Source organism: Homo sapiens, chromosome 1, assembly GCF_000001405.40.
Source record: "Homo sapiens chromosome 1, GRCh38.p14 Primary Assembly".
NCBI classification, from domain to species: Eukaryota; Metazoa; Chordata; class Mammalia; order Primates; family Hominidae; genus Homo; species Homo sapiens.
In genome coordinates this window covers 25378106-25396775 of record NC_000001.11, presented here as the reverse complement: position 1 = coordinate 25396775, position 18670 = coordinate 25378106, and the positions used below count along the sequence as shown (strand labels likewise).

The following is an 18670-nucleotide window of genomic DNA, read 5'->3' as shown; positions in this document are numbered from 1 at the left end:
ATTGTAATCTCCACGTGTTGAGGGCAGGACCTTGTGGGAGGTGATGGGATCACAGGGGTGGTTTCCCCCATGCTGTTCTTGTGACAGTGAGTGGGTTTTCAGGAGAGCTGATGGTTTGAAAGTGTGGCACTTCCTCTCTCTCTTTCTCTCTCTCTCTCACCTGCCACCACGTAAGATGTGCCTTGCTTCCCTTTCACCTTCCACCATGATTGTAAGTTTCCTGAGGCCTCTCCGGCCATGCCAAACTGTGAGTCAATTCAGCCTCTTTTGTTTATAAATTACGCAGTCTCAGGAAGTATCTTTATAGCAGTGTGAAAACAGACTAACACAATTTCCTAAAACAAGGGGACATTCTCTTACATAACCATTGTTCAGTTAACAAAAATGAGAAATTGACATTGATATATTATGATTACCTTATTCTCATTTCACCAATTTTTTCAATAATATCCTTTCTAGAAAAAAATACATATTTTTTGTGGTCGAGGATTACATCTTGCATTTAGTTCTCATGTCTTATTAAATTCCATCAATCTGGAACAGTTTCTTCATCTTTCTTTATCTTTCATGACCTTGACATGTTTTGAAGTTTCGAGCCAGTTCTTTTGTAGAATGTGGGTTTGTCTGCTGTTCCTCATGATTAGATTGTGGGTATGCATTTTTGGTAGGAATTCTCCAAGAGCCGTGTGTGCCCTTCTTAGTATATCATATCAGAAGACATGCTATCAATTTGCCCCATTACTGGGTGTGTTAACTGTGATCATTGGGTTAAGATGGTACCTGCCAGGATCTTCCACTGCAAAGTTACTATTTTCCCCTTTGTAATTAATAAACATCTTGTGAGGAGATAATTTCCTATAGAAATCCTGTTGATCATCCAACTTTCACCCACTGATTTTAGTGTTCATTGATTCTTCCCTGAATAAATTAGTACTATAATAATTGCCAATGGTGGTTTTCTAATTCCATCTTTCCTTCAATAGTTGGCATTCTCCTGTAAGGAAAAGCTTTCGCTTCTCTGTTCATCCACTCATCTATGTATTTGTTTATATTACCATGGACTCCTGGATTCCGGTTTACACACTTCCATTTTCTGCCTTTTCTCTCTGCTTAATATAAGGATTAATGAGAACTCCCTGATTCCCAGGAAGAAAATGTCACCAGAGCTTTCTTAGGTGGAATGAAGAGAATTCAGTGTAAGAACCATAAAGGTGTATCTGTGTAGTATGGACAGTTTTAAAAAACAAACAAACAAAAAGAACCTCCAAGGGCAGGAAGTGCTGCCAGACTCAGGAGGGCACTAGAACTGACTATGAGAAGCCACTGAGATCCCAGGTAGTCTGTGCTCTCCATCTTTTGGCTCTGATTCTCTCTGTACATCTAACATCTCTGTACACCAGCTTTCTCTTTAGCGAAAAACGTGTCCCCTCCACCCACCCATCCACCTCCACTTGTTCCTGCATTTCTATGTCCCAGATCCTGCAGAAAACAACTCTTTTCTCTCAGTTAGTCTCAATTCTGTAGTCCAGGGAGAGAGAATCTGATCAGTCCCCTGGGTCATTTTTCCACTCTGGTCCAAGCAGCTACAGCTGGCATGGGAAATAGTTCACACAGTAAAAACATGGCTGTCAAGAAGAGGAGTAAATTTCAGAGGCAGAACACTCCCTGTGAGCCCGAACCTCTTCCTGCTTTGTTGCAGTCTTCATAACGATTGCTTTAAAAGACTGCATTGATATAACATCATCTCTCTTCTCTGCATCTTTGACTTGCTAGCTTAACTGGTCTAGAGGAGGGCTTAGCACTGATTTTCAGTATTCATTTTCCTCAAAACTTCAATTCAGCCTGGGTTTCTTCAGCAGGAGGGCTCGGGGGAACCAGAGCCAGGGACCAGAGTCATTTCAGTGCACCAGCTCAAGAAATGAATATTCCAGGCCAAGAATCCCCAAGTGTTCTTTCTGAAGTCCTTCCTGGTGGAGCTCAAAGAGATGAAAAACGCAAGCCCGCTTTTCAGTTCTTATCAGGAAACTGCATAGACTTTCCTCTTTATGTATGACTGAGGGCTTTTTACCATCATTTGTTCACTTCACAGATATTTATTTGGTATTTACTATATACCAGGCACTCTTGTGGCAGTGGAAAATACAACTCTCGTGGAACATCTGTTCCAGAAGGAAAGACTGCCAATAAGCAATAAAATAGGCAAAAGATATAGCATGTTAGAGAGTGGTAAGTACCACAGAGAAAAATAAAATGGAGAAAAGAAACACGAAAAGTTGGGGAGAGAGGACAACTGTTTGAGGGGGTGGCCAGGGGCAGCTTCATCTCATCAAGGGGGTGATTTTTTTTGAGTACAGACCTGAAGGTAACGAGTGCACAAGCCACATGGGTACCTGAGAACAGCGGCAGAACAATGGCAGGGTGCTGGGAGGGCTATTTACCACCCATGCTGTTTAGAATTGTCAGCACATGGTGATAAAAAAAAAAATAGGCTGGGTGCGGTGGCTCATGCCTGTAATCCCAGCGCTTTGGGAGGCCAAGGCGGATGGATCACTTGAGGTCAGGAGTTCGAGACCAGGCTGGGGAACATGGTGAAACCCCGTCTCTACTAAAAATACAAAAATTAGCCGGGCACAGTGGTGGGCGCCTGTAATCCCAGCTACATGGGAGGCTGAAGCAGGAGAATCGCTTGAACCCAGTGGGTGAAGTTTGCAGTGAGCCAAGATGGCACCACTGCACTCCAGCCTGGCGACAGAGCGAGACTCCGTCTCAAAAATAAATAAATAAATAAATAAAAATAAAAAGCAGACAGACTTTTTAGTTGGCTTTAGAATTGTTAGACACCCTCTGCAGACAAGGCACCCCGATTGCTTGCACCCAGGGTGGACTACTCCCTCCATCCTGCCCTTGTTACACCCTGGCTGGGGGTCAGCATTTCAGGCAGCTGAATGACCCAAAGTGGGAACACGCTAGTGGGTTTGAGGATGAGCAAGTGGAGGAGTGCAATAGGAGGTGACGCCCGAGAGGTCAGGTGAGAGTGGATCCTGCAGGGTCGTGGCAAGAACCTGGACCTTGACTTTGAGTGACATGGGAGCCGCTGGAGGCTTCTGAGCAGAGGAGTAACATGATCTGACTTGCATTTTATTTTATTTATTTATTTGACGCAGTCTCACTCTGTCGCCGAAGCTGGAGTGCAGTGGCGCCATCTCAGCTCACTACAGCCTCTGCCTCCCAGGTTCCAGTGAATCTCCTGCCTCAGCCTCCCAGGTAGATGGGATTACAAGCAAGCATCACCACGCCTGGCTAATTTTTGTATTTTTAGTAGAGACAGGGTTTTGCCATGTTGGCCAGGCTGGTATCGAACTCCTGACCTCAGGTGATCCACCCACCTCAGCCTCCCAAAGTGCTGAGATTACAGGCTTGAGCCACCACGCCCGGCCTGACTTGCATTTTAACAGGGTCACTCTGTCTGCTGTGTGGAGAACAGTCCGCAGGAAGACAAGGGTGGAAATGGGGAGACCAGTTAGGAGGTTACTGTAACAATTTGGGGTAGCGGTGATGGTGGCTTAAACCAAGATGGGGTCAGTGGGAAATGGTGCTAAAAATCCTGCCAATTCTGGGTATTTTTAGAAAGCACAGCTGACAGCTTTCTCCAGTAGCCCACTAAATAAGTTATGAAGCATTACTAAAATGTGATAGTCATGATGCAAAATTAGAATATATCTAGAATCTCCCGAAGACCTTAGTTTGGTATTACAAGAAGTCTGGTTGCTTCATGTTGCAAAATTTATATCACTCATCACTCCTGCAGAGTTAAAATTCCGCTGAGAAGTAGGAATCAGTGAAGTGCGTGTCCATGTGGGTTTTTGCCACACCTAAGTGAACCTTGGTCAAAAGCATATAAGAGCTACTGATAGGCCGGGCGTGGTGGCTCATGCCTGTAATCTCAGCACTTTGGGAGGGAAGGATCTCTTGAGCCCAGGAGTTCGAGACCAGCCTGAGCAACATAGTGAGATTCCATCTTTACACAAAATTTAAAAATTGGCCAGGCATGGTTGTGCACTCCTGTAATCCCAGCTACTTAGGAGGCTGAGGTGGGAGGATTGCTTGAGCCTGGGAGTTGGAGACTACAGTGAGCTGTGGCCACACCACTGCACTCCAGCTTGAGCAATGGAGCAAGACTCTGTCTCAAAAAAAAAAAAAAAAAAAAAAAAAAGAGGCCGGGCACAGTGGCTCATGCCTGTAATCCCAGCACTTTGGGAGGCCGAGGCGGGTGGATCGCCTGAGGTCAGGAGTTTGAGACCAGCCTGGCAAACACGGTGAAACCCCATCTCTACTAAAAATACAAAATTAGCCCAGCGTAGTGGCGCATGCCTGTAATCCCAGCTACTAGGGAAGCTGAGGCAGGAGAATCGCGTGAACCTGGGAGGCAAATGTTCCAGTGAGCCGAGATCGTGCCATTGCACTCCAGCCTGGGCAAAGCCTGCTGGGTTGGGCTGGGTAAGCTCTGAACACCAGTCTCGTGGCTTCAAGTCACACCTCCTAAGTGAAGCTCTGAACTTTCTCCAAGGACCATCAGGGCTTTCCCCTGGGCAGAGGATGCCGACACTCACTGCTCTTACTGGGTTTTATTGCAGACAGACTACCACATGAACCTGAGGCACTTCTACGTGTTCGCAGCCTATTTTGGGCTGACTGTGGCCTGGTGCCTGCCAAAGCCTCTACCCAAGGGAACGGAGGATAATGATCAGAGAGCAACGATACCCAGTTTGTCTGCCATGCTGGGTAAGGACAAGGTGGGGTGAGTGGTCTCATACTTGGGCTGAGCAGAATGGCTCAGAAAAGGCTCTGGCTGAAAAAATCTCCCTCCTTTACCAACTTCCCCTGGGTGTCTGAAGCCCTTCCATCATGATTCACTTCTTTGAGTAGTGTTTGCTAAATTCATACCTTTGAATTAAGCACTTCCTTTTAGGGACCTCTCTTCATTAATATCCACTAGAAAGGAGAGACTCATTATGTGTGAGTTTCAATAAGTTTATCCAATCCCTTTGTTTTCAACTGAAAGGAGGGAAACGGACAAGTGAAGAAGGTAGGGCCCAGGAGTGAAGGAACAAGGGTGGGAATAGTAATAATGTTGTACTTTGAAAATCTACTGGGAAAATGATGAACTTAGACTGCTGGGAGAGGCTAATAGAAAATCGGGCAGTGAGCTTGATAGTAGGCAAAGGACTATCAGGCCACGGGGTCAAGTTAAAGCAGCACATTCATTAAAAAAAAAAAAATAAGCGTTTGGGCCAGGCGTGGTGGCTCAAGCCTGTAATCCCAGCACTTTGGGAGGCCAAGGTGGGTGGATCACCTGAGGTCAGGAGTTCGAGACCAGCCTGGCCAACAGGGCGAAACCCCATCTCTACTAAAAATACAAACAAATCAGCTGGGCATGGTGGTGCACGCCTGTAATCCCAGCTACTTGGGAGGCTGAGGCAGGAGAATCTTTTGAATCCAGGTGGTGGAGGTTGCAGTGAGCCAAGATCGCGCCACTGCACTCCAGCCTGGGCAACAGAGCAAGAGTCCATCTCAATTAAAAAGAAAAAAAAATTAAAATAAGCATTTGACCATCACAGAGCAGGTTCAGGAGGCCTGGGGTATGCAGATTTCAACCCTCTTGGCCTTTGTTTCCTTGTCTGTAAAATGTGGTTAGCTGGTATCAGCTTGAGAGCTCGGAGGGGAGACGTGACTTCCCCATCTAACTCTAAGTGACAAGGCTGAGACTCTCCAGCCCTAGGATTCTCATCCAAAACCCCTCGAGGCTCAGACCTTTGGAGCAGGAGTGTGATTCTGGCCAACCACCCTCTCTGGCCCCCAGGCGCCCTCTTCTTGTGGATGTTCTGGCCAAGTGTCAACTCTGCTCTGCTGAGAAGTCCAATCCAAAGGAAGAATGCCATGTTCAACACCTACTATGCTCTAGCAGTCAGTGTGGTGACAGCCATCTCAGGGTCATCCTTGGCTCACCCCCAAAGGAAGATCAGCATGGTGAGCAGGGCGCTGCCCTTGGGCAGCACTTGGGTCTAACAGGACTAGCACACATATTTATGCCCCTCCCCACCCCAGGGCCAGCGTGGGTTGGGAGAGGGCATGCCGGGTGGTGGAGCTGTGCCTGCCTCTACAGTGGAGCTCTAGGAAGAATGCTGGGTGGTCACAGGGGGCCTGGGACTCAGGAGACTGTCCAGTGATCAAAGGCTTTCTGGGGGGAGTGATTAAATCCATCCATGCTAACATGAAACAGACCTGAGTTTGAACCCCGTTTCTGCTAGTTGCTCAAGTCAGTCACCATGAGCGAGAGTCAGCAGCAACAGACTAGACTAGAATTAGCCAGCCTCTCTCTTCCCCCCAACAAATTTCAAGAATGGAACCATCAGAATCAGAAGTAGAGAAGTATGTGACACTAGCCATGTGGCTCTGGTCAAGCCACTTCAACGTTTTGAGTCTCAGTGGCCTCATCTGTAAAGTGAGAATTAAGAGATGGTGCATGTAAAGTGCTTAACGGGGAGTAAATGGTAGGCAAACATTAGCTGCTGCTATTAGTACAGAGAGACAATGGTGTGTGTGAGTCTTGTGGGCAGAGATGGGTGAGAGGGGAGACAAAACAAGTTCTCATGATGATGGGGGCAGGGGGTCCAGCTGGTGGTGTCGGAGGGAAGTCTGGACAGACCAGTGGTGGGGCTCGGGTGGGAGGCACTGGGGGGGCTGGAGTGGAAAGAATGTGGCCACAGATGACAGCTTCACAGCAGAATTCAGTGCTAAGAGGAAGTGAGTGGCCATGAGTTCCATGGTGACAGAAAGTCTAAGACACCTAGCAAGGCAGGAGTGGGTGTCAGCTCAGGGAAGCTCAGAGGCTAAACCTAGGTGAGAGCTGAGGGTGTCAGATAAGAGCAAGGCAAGGCTCCGGTTCTGGAGTAGTGAAGGACATAGCAGAGCTATAACCCAGGAACAAGGCCCAGCTTATTGGAACTGGGACCAGTCACACAGGGTGGCACAGGCACCAAGTAGCCAATAATAATAATAAAAACAATAACAATGATTTATGTCTATTGGGCATTTATTCATGTTCTATGCCAGACACTGGACTAAGAGCTTTATATGTGGAAACTCATTTAATCCTTACAATAACCTTATGAAGAAGGTACATCCAAAACCCCATTCTTCTAGGCCAGGTGCAGTGGCTCACACCTGTAATCCCAATATTTTGGAAAGCTGAGGCAAGAGGATTGGTTGAGGCCAGGAGTTCAAGACCAGCCCAGGCAACATAGCAAGACCCTGTCTCTAAAAAATAAAACAAAAACCCATTCTTCCCGCTGTCCAGGGACACACCACTAATGAGTGTGATGGGTGCCTAGGATGCTGAGCACCTGGACTTCCCAGCTCATTCCCTAAATGCTGCACAATCAGGGTAACTGTGCCCTGAGCCTAAGAGGCAGTAGTGAGCTGGCCCACCGTGTCCACTGATGAAGGACACGTAGCCCCAACACAGGGGAGAGGTGGTTTCAGGATCAGCAAAGCAGGGAGGATGTTACAGGGTTGCCTTGTTCCCAGCGTGCTGGTCACTTGCAGCAAGATGGTGTTCTCTCTCTACCTTGCTTCCTTTACCCACACGCTATTTCTTTGCAGACTTATGTGCACAGTGCGGTGTTGGCAGGAGGCGTGGCTGTGGGTACCTCGTGTCACCTGATCCCTTCTCCGTGGCTTGCCATGGTGCTGGGTCTTGTGGCTGGGCTGATCTCCATCGGGGGAGCCAAGTGCCTGCCGGTAAGAAACTAGACAACTAATGCTCTCTGCTTTGGCTGAAGGCCAGCAGGACGCTGGGACCTGATGGGCCACTGTGCAGTGCACAGCTGCATTAGGCAGGTGTTGGTGCATTCTCTTATTGGCTTCAACGCCTAGCGAGGGATCCATCCTGGCTCGGTGGCACATTTGTTAAGATGCTGGGGAGCAGGTGGCAGAACCCATTTGAGCTTGCTTGGGCACTGGGGAGAATTTGTTACCAGGCTACAGGGGTGTCACAGAACTCAAGGACAGGGACTGGAGTGTTGTGGGGAGCCCAGAAGCCCCTGTTTTACTTCTTTCTTTGCTTTTCCTGAATATCTGCTTTATTCTTACTCTATAGACCTGCTTCCTCCTCTTTCACCCCACATTGTGGGGTGTAGTCTTTTGCTTCAAGAAAGCAGCCTGGTGGATGGAATCTCTTGGCCCCAATCCCAAATTCTCTGGAGAAGGGGCTCTTTGGTTTAACTTGGATAATGTTGTCTTCAGCTGGGGGTGGGCACATCGTGCATATGTGGCTGCTGCCGGGGAACCACGTGGATGATGTGAGAGGAGCAGCACCCAGAAGAGGGAGTGCTGGGCTGATGGTCCAGGTCGTGTCCACTTCTGATTGTTTAATTCTTCTTCTAAGTGGATGGATCTTTCTCCAATACTCAGCAAATCCTGATCGTTCCAGAATACTTCATTATAGCCAATTGGTTATAATGTGCTTCTCTAAGAGAAATATTTAGGGACAACAAATCTTCATGGGTTTGAAGACTTGATGGAGGAAAAAGGAGTAGATTTTCGAAGGCTGGATTTGGATGAACAGGGGCTATTCAGGGAGTGCATTCCAACCTAAAATTAGGAAAAACTGGCTGGGCGCAGTGGCTCACGCGCTTTGGGAGGCCGAGGCGGGCAGATGGCCTGAGGTCAGGAGTTCAAGACCAGCCTGGCCAACATGGTGAAACCATCTCTACTAAAAGTACAAAAATTAGCCAGGCGTGGTGGCGGGCACCTGTCATCTTAGCTACTCAGGAGGCTGAGATGCGAGAATCACTTGAACCTGGGAGACAGAGCTTGCAGTGAGCCGAAATTGCGCCACTGCACTCCAGCCTGGGCGACAGAACAAGACTCTGTCTTAAAAAAAAAAAAGTGTTTTATATACAGAGTGGAATATTATTTAGCCATAAAAAGAATGAAATCCTGTCATTTGCAGCAACATGGATGGAACTGGAGGTCATTAAAAAATAAAATAAAATAAATAAGGAAAAACGTATCAATACTTCGATTGACCAAAACCAGGGCAAATCTGATTTTCATCTTTGCAAGGGGAACAAATTTCTTTTATCTCCTCTGGCTTTGAAACCCTGAAATGAAAGGAGGAAGGGCAGAAAAAAGAACACATAGCAAGTTACCATCAGGCTCAGCGCCCATCGCATTCCCTGAGCTTGTTTCCTTGACTTCATCACTGGCAGGACTATTCAAAAATGATTCCCTCATTCATTCATATATTCATTCATTCATCATTCCTTCATTCAACACATACGTTTTAACACTCATCTTGCTTTTCAAGCTATAGTTTAGTGAGCGAAATGGATACACAGAATACAGTGTGAGAACAGCTACAGGGCACATCTGAGCTAGCCTGGGATGGGTCCGGAAATGCTTCCTGGAGCAGAGGAAACGGTTGACAGCCAAGTGTTGACAGAGAAGTAGTATTAGCCAGGCAGAGACATGGGGAATGTATTCCAGGCAGAAGGCACAGTGTGTATGAAAGCTTATTGGTAAGAAGAGTGTGTGGCCCAACCAGGAAACAGACATTCTGAAGGCATAGGGTCCACCCAGGAGCATGGTGAACCCAGATCCCTGAAAGATGGGAGGTGCTCAGGCACACTTCCTGGGCTAGTTGAGGGGTCTGGATTTTTATTTACTTATTTTTTTATTTATTGAGACAGAGTCTCGTTCTGTCACCCAGGCTGGAGTGCAGTGGTGCAATCTCAGCTCACTGCAACCTCCACCTCCTGGGTTCAAGTGATTCTCCTACCTCAGCCTCCTGAGTAGCTGGGATTACAGGTGCCCACCACCATGCCTGGCTAATTTGTGTGTGTGTGTGTGTGTGTGTGTGTGTGTGTGTGTTTTGTTGTTGTTGTTGTTGTTGAGACGGTGTCTCGCTCTTTTGCCCAGGCTGGAGTGCAGTGGCGCCATCTTGGCTTACTGCAAGCTCTGCCTCCCGGGTTCACACCATTCTCCTGCCTCAGCCTCCTGAGTAGCTGGGACTACAGGCGCCCTCCACCACGCCCAGCTAATTTTTTGTGTTTTTAGTAGAGACGGGGTTTCGCCATGTTGGCCATGCTGGTCTTGAACTCTTGACTTCAGGTGATCCACCCACGTTGGCCTCCCAAAGTGCTGGGATTACAGGCATGAGCCACCGTGCCCGACCTGGATTTTTATTCTGAAGACTAATGGGGATCCTAAGGAAGGAACCAGCCTGACTGAATTTGCATATGTGTCCACATCTGCTGGCTCATGGCTGTGTGGGAGGCTGAGTGATGGGGAGGAAGGATTACTGAGTAGGGATCTAGAGGTGTGGCCTCATGCTTTCTTTCTAACCAGCTGTGTTGTCTTTGGGATGGTGCTTAAATTTGGGCTAGACCAGTGGGTCTTGGTCACCCCCCAGGGGACATCTGACAATGTCTGGAGGCGTTCTTGGTTGACACAGTGGGGTGAGGGCTGCTACTGGCAGCTCGTGGGGAGAGACCAGGAATGATGCTTAACATCCTACAGTGCACAGGGCAGCCCCCATCACAAGGAATTATCAGCTGAAATTGTGAATAGTGCCTACACTAGACCCTTGCTACTCATAGTGTGGTCCGTAGATGAGCAGCATTGGCATCACCTGGGACCTTGTTAGAAATGCTCTTAGACCCCACCCCACATCCACTAAAGCCAGCTCTTCATTTCAACAAACTCCCCATTGATGTGAGTACACATTCAAGTCTGAGAAGGGCTTCTTTGAGGTGAGCCTTAGTGCCCATCCCCATTTGGTGGCGCCGGATACCAAGGGTGTGTGAAAGGGGTGGGTAGGGAATATGGGTCTCACCTGCCAATCTGCTTATAATAACACTTGTCCACAGGTGTGTTGTAACCGAGTGCTGGGGATTCACCACATCTCCGTCATGCACTCCATCTTCAGCTTGCTGGGTCTGCTTGGAGAGATCACCTACATTGTGCTGCTGGTGCTTCATACTGTCTGGAACGGCAATGGCATGTGGGTCACTGGGCTTACCCCCCATCCCCTTAACACTCCCCTCCAACTCAGGAAGAAATGTGTGCAGAGTCCTTAGCTGGGGCGTGTGCACTCGGGGCCAGGTGCTCAGTAGGCTTCGGTGAATATTTGTTGGCTGATTTATTCAGAAATTATGTCCAGCCCCTACCTTGGATGGATTTATCACCTCTCCAGGCCACCTCTTCTTTCCAAATAGGACCACCTAGGTATAGACCAAAGACACGAAATCTTCTGTGACCCCACAAACACAGAGCAGGTCAAATAGGCCCAAGCCAATTGAGACTGTGGTTCAGGTCGTGATGCAGAGCTTTGCTGTGGACGTGCTCCCACTGCGTACTAGCTGGGCATGCGGCTTAACCTTTCTCAGCCTCAGTCGCCCCCTTGTAAATGGAGATAAGGATACTATCTCCCCTCACAGGGCTGTTGGGATGCTACTGGATTTAATAAGCTAATGCAGGGACATGCTAAGCACAACCCATCCCTGAGGCCCAGAGAAGGGTGGGCCTCGGCTGAGGTCTCACTGTGAGGTGGGAATGTGGGCCTCCAGACCAGAGGTAGGTCCTGTGGCCCCTAGACAGTGGACAGCAATGGTCAGTTTGACACACCAGAGCCCTAGCCATTACTTCCTGGATGTTGTGTGAATATTTTCTGGACATGGCTTATATAAAATGAAAAAGTGAATTGGGCACGATATAGGGATAGATTTTTAGAGATGAACTGATAGCATGATGATAATCATATTCACTGATAACATTTACTACTGTTATTGACTGCTTTAAAAGTGTTGGGCATTGTGCTAGAAACCATTATATGCATTATCTCCTTGAATTCTCACAACCGCCTACTGAGGTATTCTCAGACTCTAAGAAATGAGATTTAAGAGAAGTTATCTGCCCAAGGTCACCCGGCTGGAACCTGGCTGTAAAAATGGCTGAAGCAGGTGATGAGGAGCTGATGTGTTTGGACGTGTCTCAGAGAAATCATGGAGGCGCTGGGGTTCCTTCCGGTTCTTGGATGCCTTCTACAGAGACAACCATAGCCCCAAATTATAGGGATCACATATCAGTGGGTGAGACATCCTTGCTTGGGATGAGGAGGGGATGAGCTGTGTGAAGCAAGGTGCCTCTGTAATGGGTTCCAGTGATGTGTCTGCCACTGTCTTAATAACTGTGCAATTCTAAGCAGAACCTTTCCTGTCTCTGGGCCTGAGAGTTCCCCTCTGTAAGATGAGGACTTGACCTAGCAAGGTCCTACTCAGATGCCTGTAGAGAACAGGCAGGGGAAGTTAGAAAAAAAAAAAGCCAGTGAAGGAAGGGAGCTCTTCAGCTTGCACCCACCATCACAGTGCAGGGACCCAGGCTCAGTGTTGCCAGATCCAATGACTTCTCAAGAGCTCAAAATCTAGAGTTTTGCATGTGCTCTCCCAAGTACTGGCAGAAAATTCAAGATTGTTAGTAACACTGTGTGGCTAAATTCTGCTTGTGGGCTGCCTAGATTCCCAATTCTGTGATTCTGTGGTTCTCTGGAAGCATTGGTTCTCCACAGCACCTGCATCACTTGGAAACTTGTTAGAAATGCAAGCCCTACCTACGGCCCCACCCCAGACCTACCCAGTTAGAAATCTGGGGGTGGGACCTATCAGTCCATGTTTGAACAAGCCCCACAAGTGTTCTCTTGCAAGCTCAAGTTTTAGAACCACTGACCTATAGCCAAAAAAGAAAAAGCCAATCAGTGGTTTGCTGGTAGAGGATTAACTTAACAACTGGCTTTCCATGAAAATAAAGCCTTGATTGGTAGCACTTGCAATTTCTATGGTACAAACGCTTCCCACATGACTGAGTTCAAGCTATCAAGGAGACGTCACTGCACATGGACTTGGGAAGAGATGAGAACAATCAGCCCACTGAGCCTATGGGAACTGGCTCCAGCACATCCCTGCAAGTCAACTCTCATCAGGGTGAGTGAGTTGAGGACCAAGAAGCAGTTATCCTCTTGCCTTTGCAGGACCCAGGCAAAGGGAAGGGCATAGTGACAGTGATGATCTCTCTTCCGGAAGTCTTTGGTTTGCTGAGAGTAAAAGGCGTGGGCTTCACCAGTGGTGAAGCCAGTCATGCAGCCTTAGTCCTGGTACTCAAACTCCCTAAATCTCAGTTTTCTATCTGTAAAATGGGAAAATAAGTCCTATGTCACAGGGTTGCTGTGCAGATTTAGCAATAGAACATAGCCCCGTTCTTTATGATGACTGATGCTGCATCAGTATGGGGACATCTCTATGTAATGGAAAGATGGAGAGAGGATTAAGTGCAAAGTCACAGCACTTAATGGGAACTGTGGATTAGCTACTTGGTGGCATTGGGCAAGTCAGTTGACTTTGCATTAATTCCACAAACAATATTTCCCAATTTCCTATTCAGATGAGCATATGTGACTGAGTCAGATGCTGTGATCAGAGCCAGGATGGAGCATTTCCCACAAACTGTGGGATTTTTAAGTGATGGGAAGGCACACTGAAATGGCATTGAATCATGCAGTTGCAGATACTCTTTTTCAATTCTCAGTCCTTTGATTACATCAGGGAGAAAAGAAAGTCCCCACTTGGGCTGAGAATCTCTGCACCCTTCTAGCTCTTGTTAACCACTCTTTTGAATAGCAGAGAAAACCTCAGACTGCCATATCTGGGAGAGATTTTAGCAACATTTTGTTTTCATTGTATCTCTTTTTACAGCTACCTCCCATTTCCCTTCTATTTCAAGCTAGTAACACAGTTTTCTTTTAAATTCATTTATTTAAATGTAAAAATAAGTCTATTTGGAGAAAAAAAATTTTTAATAGCATCTCTGGAATGCCAGTATGGCTAAATTCATGAATGTTGTCCTCAAATGCTGAAATCTGGGAAGCATCTGGCCAAGCTTTGTGGACAGGCCTTCCTAGTTTGAATCCCAAGAGCCACTCATTCCGAGCCACAAAACATTGGAATTCTTGGTTCACTTCCCTAACCTGAACTTGTCCTCTGTGAAATAGGGACATTAATAGCTCACTCACAGGGCTGCTGTGAGGACATGTGTTGAGCTGAGGGTCTGGCCAGGGGAGACCCTGTGCAGGGAGACTGTTATCATGGTGATGGATTTCTGCTTCATTCATTTCTTTTTCCAGACAGCATCATATAGAATGAGTTGTGGGGTGGCAGTCAGCAGGTTTGGGTTTATCCTCTATTCTGCCACTTATTACTTAAAAAAAAAAACCCAACTTATATAGTATAAGCTATATCCAGAAAAGTGCAAATATCATACAAGTACCATTTGATGAATCTTCTGATATCCCCACATAACCAACACCCAGAACCTCTTCTTGTCTCATTCCAGGATAACCACTAACCTGACTTCTAACAGCATCAGTCAGTTTTGTCTGTTTTTGTACATTATATATGTGATGGTTTGAATGTGTCCCCCAAATTTCATGTGCTAGAAACTTAATCCTTCAATTCATATGTTGATGCTATTTGGAGGAAGGGCCTTTGGGAAGTAATTAGGATTAGATAAGGTCATGGGGTGAGGTATGATGGCACTGGTGACTTATAAGAAGAGAAAGAGAAATCTGAGCTGGCATGCTCTTGCCCTCTCACCGTGTGATGACTTCTCCATGTCATGATGCAGCAAGAAGGCCCTCACCAGATGGTGGCACCATGCTTTTGGACTTCCCAGCCTCTAGAACTGTGAGCTAAATCAATTTATTTTCTTTATAATCACCCAGTTTGATATTTTGTCATAGCAACAGAATATGGACAAAGAAAGAAAATTAATGCAAGAAGTAGAGTTTTTACTGTAACAGATTCCTGAAAATGTGGAAGTGGCTTTGGAACTGGGTGATGGGAATAGGTTGGAAGAGTTTTGAGGAGCAGGCTAGAAAAAGCCTGTATTGTCAAGAATGGAGCATTAGGCCAGGCACGGTGGCTCAGACTTATAATCCCAGCACTTTGGGAGGCCAAAGCAGGTGGATCACCTGAGGTCAGGAGTTCGAGACCAGCCTGGCTAACATGGTGAAACGCTGTTTCTACCAAAAATACAAAAAATTAGCTGGGCACTCTGGCGCACACCTGTAATCCCAGCTACTCAGGAGGCTGAAGCAGGAGAATCACTTGAACCCAGGAGGCAGAGGTTGCAGTGAGCTGAGATCGTGCTATTGCACTCCAGCTTGGGCAACAAGAGCAAAACTCCAACTCAAAAAAAAAAAAAAAAGAAAAAGAAAAAGAATGGAGCATTAAAGACAGTTCTACAGTTCTGGTGAGGGCTTAAAAGAAGACCCCAGAACTAGGGAAAGTCTGGAACTTCTTAATGGTTACTGAAGTCGTTGAGATCAGAATGCTGATAGAAATGTGGCTGGTGAAGGCCATTCTGATGAGGTCTCAGATGGAACTGAAGAACCACGTGTTGGAAACTGGAGCAAAGGTCATCCTTTTTATAAAGAAGCAAAGATCTTAGCTGAACTTTGTCTGTGCCAGAGTCATTTATGGAAAGCAGAAAATCCGTAGGTCACCCATGTTGTAGAGAATGAAAGAACATTTTCAGCTGAGAAAACTGAGAGTGTGACCAAGCTACCGATTGATAAGAAAACTAGTACACATAAATTAGCCAGGCGTGGTGGTGGGCGCCTGTAGTCCCAGCTACATGGGAGGCTGAGGCAGGAGAATGGCATGAACCCGGGAGGCAGAGCTTGCAGTGAGCCGAGATCGCGCCACTGCACTCCAGCCTGGGCGACAAAGCGAGACTCCATCTCAAAAAAAAAAAAAAAAAAAAGGAAGAAAGAAAATTAGTACACATAGAACAAAGCCAGAGGCTGTTCATCAGGACAAGGGAGAAAAACTCCAAAGCCATTTCAGAGATCTTCAAGACTGCCCCTCCCATTACTGGCCCAGAGCTCTAAGAGGGCAGAATGGTTTGGAATGACCAGCTGCTGCCCAGGGCTGCCTTGGGTCTCTGCTCCCCACATTTCTGGTGCAGCATTCCTCAGCCATCCCAGCTGTGGTTCAAGTGGCCACAGGTGTGATGTGGAAGGTAAAAGTCATAAACCTTGGCAGCATACACATGGCACTAATTTTGCAGGTGTGCAGAATGCAAAAGCTGAGGGGGCATGCCTTCTCCCACCTACATTTCAAAGGGTGCTGTGAACGGCCACCCCAGAGAGCCCCTAGTAGAGCAAGGTCTAGTGGAGCTACAAGGGTGGGGCCACCGCCAAGACCCCAGAATGGTAGAGCTATCATAGTGCAATGCCAGCTTGGGAGAACTGCAGGCATGAGACTCCAACCTGTGCGAAGTGCAACATGGGCAGAACCCAGCAAAACCACAGGGGCAGAGCTCCCCGAAGCTTCGGGGGTCCAAATTCCATAGTGTGTCCAGGAGGTGGCACACAGAGTAAAAGATCATTCTGAAGGTTTAAGGTTTAATGTTGTTTTCTATGTTGGGTTTTGTACTTTCCTGGAACCAGTTACCCTTTTTCCCTTGCCTCTTTTTCCTTTTAGAATGGGAATGTCTGTCCTATGCCTGTTCCACTGTTGTATTTTGGAAGTCAATAACTTGTTTTGACTTTACAGGCTTACAGCCAGAGGGAATCTCCCATAGAATGAATTGTACCTTAAGTCTCACCCACATCTGATTTAGATGAGACCATGGACTTTGGAATTTTGAGTTGGTGCTGGAACAAGTTAAGACTTTGGGGGTTGTCTAAGTGTGGTGTTTCATGCCTGTAATCCCAGTGATTTGGGAGGCTGAGGTGGGAGGATTGCTTGAGCCCAGGAGTTCAAGACCAGCCTAGGCAACATAGTGAGACCTGTCTCTACAAAAATAAAAATAAAAAGTTAGCCAGGTATTGTGGCATGTGCCTGTAATTCTAGCTACTCAGGAGGCTGAGGTGAGAGGATCACTTGAGCCCAGGAGTTTGAGGCTGCAGTGAGCTATGGTCGTGCCACTGCATTCCAGCCAGGGCAACAGAGTGAGACTCTGTCTCTACAAATAAGATTAAATAAACGTAGCTGGAGATGGTGGCACACGTCTGTAGTCCTAGCTACTCAGGAGGCTGAGACAGGAGGATTACTTGAGCCAAGGAGTTTGAGGCTGCAGTGAGCTATGATCATGCCACTGCATTCCAGCCTGGATGATAGAGCAAAATCCCATCTTTAAAAAAAAAAAAAAAAAAAAAAAAAATATATATATATATATATATATATATATATATATATATATATATACTTTGGTGCTATTGGGATGAATTTTGCATGTACGAAGGACATGCATTTTGGGGGCTGGGGCAGAATGCTATGGTTTGAATGCATCCCTCAAATTTCATGTGTTGGAGACTTAATCTCCAAATTCATATGTTGATGAAATTGGAGGTGAAGCCTTTGGGAGGTAACTAGGATTAGATAAAGTCATCAGGGTGGGGCCCCTATGATGAGACTGGTGGCTTACAAGAGGAAGAGAGACCTGAGCTGACATGCTCTTGCCCTCTTGCCATGTGATACCCTCTGCCATGTTATGGCACAGCAAGAAGGTCCTCAACAGATGCCAGCAGCATGCTCTTAGACTTCCCAGCCTCCAGAACCATGAGCTATATATAATTATTTTATAAATTACCCATTCTGTGGTATTCTGTTATAGCAACAGAAAGTGAACTGAGATAATATACATGGAATCATACAGTAAGTCTGTGCTTTTGTATGCTTCTTTTACTCAACATTGTAGTTGTGAGATTCATCCAGGTTGTTAAGCATTGCTGTACTTTTTTTCCACTGGGATATAGTGTTCTGTCATGCTTGGGTCTTAATTTATAAAGGTGACTGAGTGGCATTTTCTTCCAGTATTATTGGAAGGAAAGTTTTGTTGTTCACAGTTCCCCTGTAAAAAAGAGGCAGAACACGTCTTGCAGGGCCACACAAAACTGTGTCATCCAGGGACCAGGCAGCAGAAAGAGAGGGGGAACTGGGCCTATGCCTTTATGAAAAAGAGTGGTGGGAGAGTAACTGGGTGAGGGCATCCACTAATGGGCAGGAAGTGAAAACACATATGTTGGAATTTGTAGCTGAGGGGTTTATAATATGAGTTTCCCATGCCTGAGAAAGCTGACTTGCAAGAAAACGAGATAAACAACTTTGGCCATTAGTGTGGCCCTGTCATAAATGAATGCCGGATAGACAAATCGAGAATCTAAGAAAAGATAGTTGGAACAAGTGTTCCATTGTGTGAATGCAGCAGAATTTATTTATCCATTATTGAGGAGGATTTGGGTAGTTTCCAGTTTGGAGCTATTATGAATATTCTAGTATTGCTCCTCTGAACATTCTAGCACTTTTGTTTTTGGAGCACACGAATGCACTTCTGTTGATTATATGCCTAGAAGTGAAATTGTTGAGTTATACAGTATTCACACAGTCAGCCTTAGTGGCTACTGCTAAACAGTTTTCTCTAGTAGTTTGCGCCAATCTAATCACCAGTAGTGTATAGAAGCTCCTTTTACTCCACATTTTGTTAACACTTGGTGTTTTCCTTCTTTTTGATTAGTCATTTAGCAGTGAAACCTATTTTTTACATTTTGATA

General features: G+C 46.5%; 1 protein-coding gene across 11 annotated transcripts in view, besides 1 other annotated feature; it reads left to right on the top strand.

The window, feature by feature from the left end:
• RHCE (Rh blood group CcEe antigens) overlaps positions 1 to 18670 on the top strand; it is a 67955-nt gene that overhangs the window by 33428 nt on the left and 15857 nt on the right. For 6 of the 11 annotated variants that reach the window (XM_011541889.4, XM_047427028.1, XM_005245957.5 and 3 more), the window contains 4 exon segments: positions 4635 to 4782; positions 5861 to 6027; positions 7663 to 7800; positions 10932 to 11065. In XM_011541889.4, coding sequence (XP_011540191.2) covers positions 4635 to 4782; positions 5861 to 6027; positions 7663 to 7800; positions 10932 to 11065 — 587 coding nt within the window. 11 annotated transcript variants of the gene reach the window in all.
• Positions 15332 to 15532: a silencer, noted in NCBI's record as "peak127 fragment used in MPRA reporter construct". NCBI's record gives its function as "represses an SCP1 promoter by STARR-seq MPRAs in K562 erythroleukemia cells {active_cell/tissue: K562}" and the evidence as "EXISTENCE:reporter gene assay evidence [ECO:0000049][PMID:32103011]".